This window comes from Homo sapiens, chromosome 7 (assembly GCF_000001405.40).
Source record: "Homo sapiens chromosome 7, GRCh38.p14 Primary Assembly".
Lineage (NCBI taxonomy): Eukaryota > Metazoa > Chordata > Mammalia > Primates > Hominidae > Homo > Homo sapiens.
In genome coordinates, this window is record NC_000007.14 from 93,813,670 (window position 1) to 93,818,396 (window position 4,727).

Consider the following 4,727-nt stretch of genomic DNA (forward strand, 5'->3'; position numbering starts at 1 on the left):
ATATTCTTCAAAATTTGGTCTGTATGTTAAAATTGATGACACTGCAGACTTTTTGGAGAAGTCAGAGCAGGCTTTCCAAGTTGGTCCAAAAATGTCTTTAAAAATCATGAAAATGAGACATGCTTGTGAGTTGTACAGTGCTTAGGGGGTGGGACTGGCATAACGGTTTCCTTGCAGGGAGTTTACCTGGTCTGAATTCAGAAGGAGCATGCAGGATTTCTTATGAGCTTGCCCAGAAGTGGAGCAAAGGGCAAATGGAAGTGGTGAGGCTTAGAAGTTATCAGTAGTCAAACATCAAAAAAGGAGTCAGATTCTTTATTACAACCCACCCTTAATGTTTGCCCAATAACTGAAATGTACCATGTTCATTTAATTGAATTTGATTTATTTAAGTTAGCCATTTGTATTAGTTAGGGTTCTCCAGAGAAACAGAACAAGTAAGATATACATAAAATTGGCTCATGCAACTGTGGAGGCTGACAGATCCCAGGATCTGTAGTCAGCAAGCTGGAGATCCAGTGATATCATTCCAGTCTTAATCCACAGGCCTGAGAACCAAGAAACTAGATGATATAAGTTCCAGTTTGAGTCTGAATCCAAACTCAGAAGAAGATCAATATCCCAGTCAGGCAGAGAGAAGAGTGAATTCTTCCTTATTCAGCCTTTTCATTCTATTCAGGACTTCAAAGTGTTGAATGAGACCACCTTCGTAGACACACTCAGAATATTTAACCAAATATCTGGACACATTGTGGCCCCATGGAGTTGACACATAGAAGTCGCCATTACACCATTATAGCCCTCTATGAAGCCTGTAGCCTGAGGCTGACAACAAGGAAAGTAAAATGTCCCTTGAATGCCTTATTCAAAAGCCCAGTAATTATACATTCTGAAAAGCAAATTGAGTGCCTTTGTCACTATCAATGTCTGAAACTCTGAAGAGGATAAGGAGTGTCTTGGTGAGGCTTTGGATTGTGGCTTTAGTATGTACAGAGATATATGTGGCATTGATTTTTTTTGGTATCTGTGAGGCAATATATTATCAGAGTTCTTTATCGTAAAGGAGGCATCCATGGATAAAGAATTGTTATTGTTGCCATCAAGTGGATCTGGCAGCTGGACTATTTGCAATGGGCCATAAAACCATACAATTGTGTGGATAAAGCTTATTGTTGGCCAGGATATCCAGTCCTAAGATGATGGCTAAAGTTTGATCAATTACGTTGACCCTATATCTTGCCTTTATTGAGGATATCCTGGTTAAGGAAGAGAAAGCAGTGGCTCTCCAGGGAATACCATCACTAGTGATAGTGACAATGCCATCTATAAACTTTACAAATTTTCTTTGCTGTTCATTCAGTTGATACCAAGGGGCTTACTCAAGTAATTAGGGGTTCTTAGGGGAAGGGTTACTTGTTCAAACACTCTGGCATATAGCAAGGGACTAAGAACTGAAGAGAGCAACCCCTCCTACAGCTGGGATATGCCAGAGGTCCCAGGCTTGGTTCTATCCTGTAACAACAAGGACCTAGTAGTCTCATTGAGCTTGAGGGTTGTTGCTTCCATGATAGCTGGATATGGAAGATCATATGCCCAGTGTGTGGACAGAAGCTGCCACTCTAATGGCATATAGCATAAGCTAAGGAGAGCAGTTTCTTATATCTTAAGTCTAAGGACAATTTATAGCCATGGTAGATGATCTGGAAACTACAAAAGATATGAGAGGAAATTGCCAGAGCCTCTACAAAAAAGGAGTCTCTGGGGGCAATAATAGGAATGCCTGTTGTATCACAATTTGAACAGTTTCCAGAATCTTTTGTTGTAGTTTACAGTAATAAAATATTTACAAGTGACTGTTTGTACAGTCAGTAATTTCAGTAATATTGGGTATGGGGACCTTAATGGATGGGACCAAGGTATTAAGGTTGGGGTAGTGCACTGTTTGATACTATTCATTTATGCTAAGTATAAGAAGAGGGAAAATTTTTGGGAGAACGAGGCGGGTGGATCACTTGAGGTCAGAAGTTCAAGACCAGCCTGGCCAACATGGCGAAACCCTGCCTCTACTAACAATACAAAAATTAGCCAGGTGTGGTGGCATGGGCCTGTAATCCCAGCTGCTCAGGAGGCTGAAAGGCAGGGGAATTGCTTGAACCTGGGAGGCAGAGGTTTCAGTGAGCTGAGATCGTGCAGCTCCACTCCACCCTGGGTGACAAAGTGAGACTGTCTCAAAAAAAAAAAAAAAAAAAAATAATAATAATAATAATAATAAATAAGAGGCCAAATTTTACTATTAAATGGAGAAGTGGGGATACTAAATATAAACAGGTCTTTATGTAAATAGGTCTTGTATAATAATAGGTGCTGAAGGCTTCTGTTTTAATTTACATTAAGCCACATTGACTATTTCAACTAAGAGGAATAGGTTGAGGGCATGTCTATATAGTCCTATTTCTCAAGTAAATTTGTAATGACAAAGACTTAAATTTAATTTACTCCATGTTAGACCAGAGTGTTTCTGCTCACCATGCAATATTTTGGGACCATGGGTGCTCTGAATATGAAGAATTTAGGTAATGTAGTAGTATCAAAGGTTAAAGTGCCCTCTATTTTATGTTCAGTAACTCCCCTGAGATTATGGGGGTACTTTGTTTAAATTTAGTGGTATTCCCCAAGTATAACTGTAATTCAAGCCCCAGTATTGATTATGGCCGTGAAGGTTTGTCAACTGGTGTATCTCAGCTTCTTAAAGTTAATTTAAAATCCTACATTATAGAGGCATAGAAGCAAGTCAGTATCTCTTTATCTTTGTTGTTTAAATTCTTTTAGTATATTCTGGATTCTTCCAGAAATCTTCAAATCAGTATTGTCCGGGTTAGGAGCCTCCTTAATAACAATGATTGAATTAACCCTTGGTTGTGCCACAGGAATGCCATGGGTTTTTCTCTATACTCCTAAAGGTGAGAATCTTTTTGGCAAAAGAGATGTAAGAGAATAGCAGCAGCACCAGCAAAGGCATTTTGTAGAGTCCTAATGAGCCATCTGCCTTTTTGGGTATAGACACTAATAATTCAAATTTTCAAATAACTTCTATTCAAATAGGGGCCATTTATCCTCCATGTGAGTGAGCACTCAGTAAAGCTATATATCTCACAGGGTATAGTCTTTGTACTGAGCTAGCTGTAGAATAAGGCCTATACTTGTTTGAAACACACCAGGTCACAATTGGCCACAGGATAAGGATTGTTCCCTTCACCTAATGACAGTCACATGCTATGCTAGAATTGAAACACATGATTTCATCTAAAATACACAGATAGGTCTGGGCCAAAACAGATGACACAGGGCCACCCTAATGCTGTCCTAAAACCTATATTCCCTTCTTAAAAACTCAATTAGTTACTAAAATTTCTGATATAGATTGGTTAAACCTCTAACAGAGGCTCAGTAGAATGCAGCAAATGCAGCACAAAGCTGCACAGCTCAAAGCACAGGCTACTCAGCAGGAGCAGCTCAAAATGTATGCTTGCCATTAGGCAGCCAAAGAAAGAGAAGAAAGACTCCCAGCAATGGTGCCCATTGTCTATACATCCCACTCTCAAAGCAAATTGTCAGCATCCTGTGGAAACAGGGGCCATGCCATAGGGACAGAATAGATCTTTACCAAAATTTGGTTTGAATGTCAAGTATGAAGACCCTAGACACACACCAAAAGGGTATAACAAAAATTTATTACTTAATATGGTAAGGCTTTCTGGGGAGAGGAAAGCAATCTCCCCAAACAGGTTCAAAAATCAATTGAGAGAATAGAAAAAGGAGGCTGGCTTACAGTTTTTATGGTGATTAAGGAGTGATCGGAGGGGGCTTATATGGTTTGAATTTTCTTCTAAAGGAGGGAAGATCTGGGATTTTTTTTTTTATCAGCTTGCCCAGATGTGGAGTAAAAAAGGAAAAAGAAAGAGTAAGGCTTAAATGTTATCTAAACATTAAAAAATTGAGTCAGACTCCTTATTATAAAAGGACTTCTGGACAGAACTATTCATAGTGGAGTGAATTGCCAAGAAAAAGTACAGACTATATGAGTTTAGGGGAGTTGAGAGGATGTCCTACTGTGGAAGACGCTATGATGAGTCACTTCAGAGGACAGCTGGGACAGCTTTATAAATATAAAACCTTCCAAAGGGAAACAAAAGGACAAAAGCAATGAAAAGAGCCTCAAAATGCAACTTTTCCTGAAAAGTGAGGCTTTTATTTCTCTAATCTTGTGGAAATTTAAGAAGCCTAATTTAAAAGATAAGAACTTACATAATCAACATTCACACCATATACCATATGGATTAGTGTGTCTGTCTAACACGTGGTACCTAGGACAACGACTGGCATAGAGTGAGTACTGTGCAAACATTAGCTAAATTAATAAATGAATTTTATGGAAATTTAGACTTTAAAGAGTACTTTCTGATAATTTGTCTCATTTGATATTTAAATGTATTCTCTGAGAAATACACTATTGTCTCCATCTTACAATAAGGGAACTGAGGTTCAGAAAAATAATGCCTTTACTCAAATTCAGGCCATGAAAGAACAAAGGTTCAAGTCCAGTTATTTCAAAAGTCTTATCTGTTCCTTACCAAAGTACACTACTTCTGCCAGGAATATAGATAGTAGATCTCTATCTGGAAATAAATAAAATAATCTCTTAGGGTACCTTCTAGTTCTTTTATTTT

General features: G+C 38.5%; 1 annotated feature.

Annotated features, from left to right (window-relative positions):
- Nucleotides 3,267-3,832: an enhancer, noted in NCBI's record as "OCT4-NANOG hESC enhancer chr7:93446248-93446813 (GRCh37/hg19 assembly coordinates)". NCBI's record gives its function as "activates a minimal SCP1, AML or CMV promoter by ChIP-STARR-seq in primed H9 embryonic stem cells {active_cell/tissue: H9 hESC(primed)}" and the evidence as "EXISTENCE:reporter gene assay evidence [ECO:0000049][PMID:30033119]".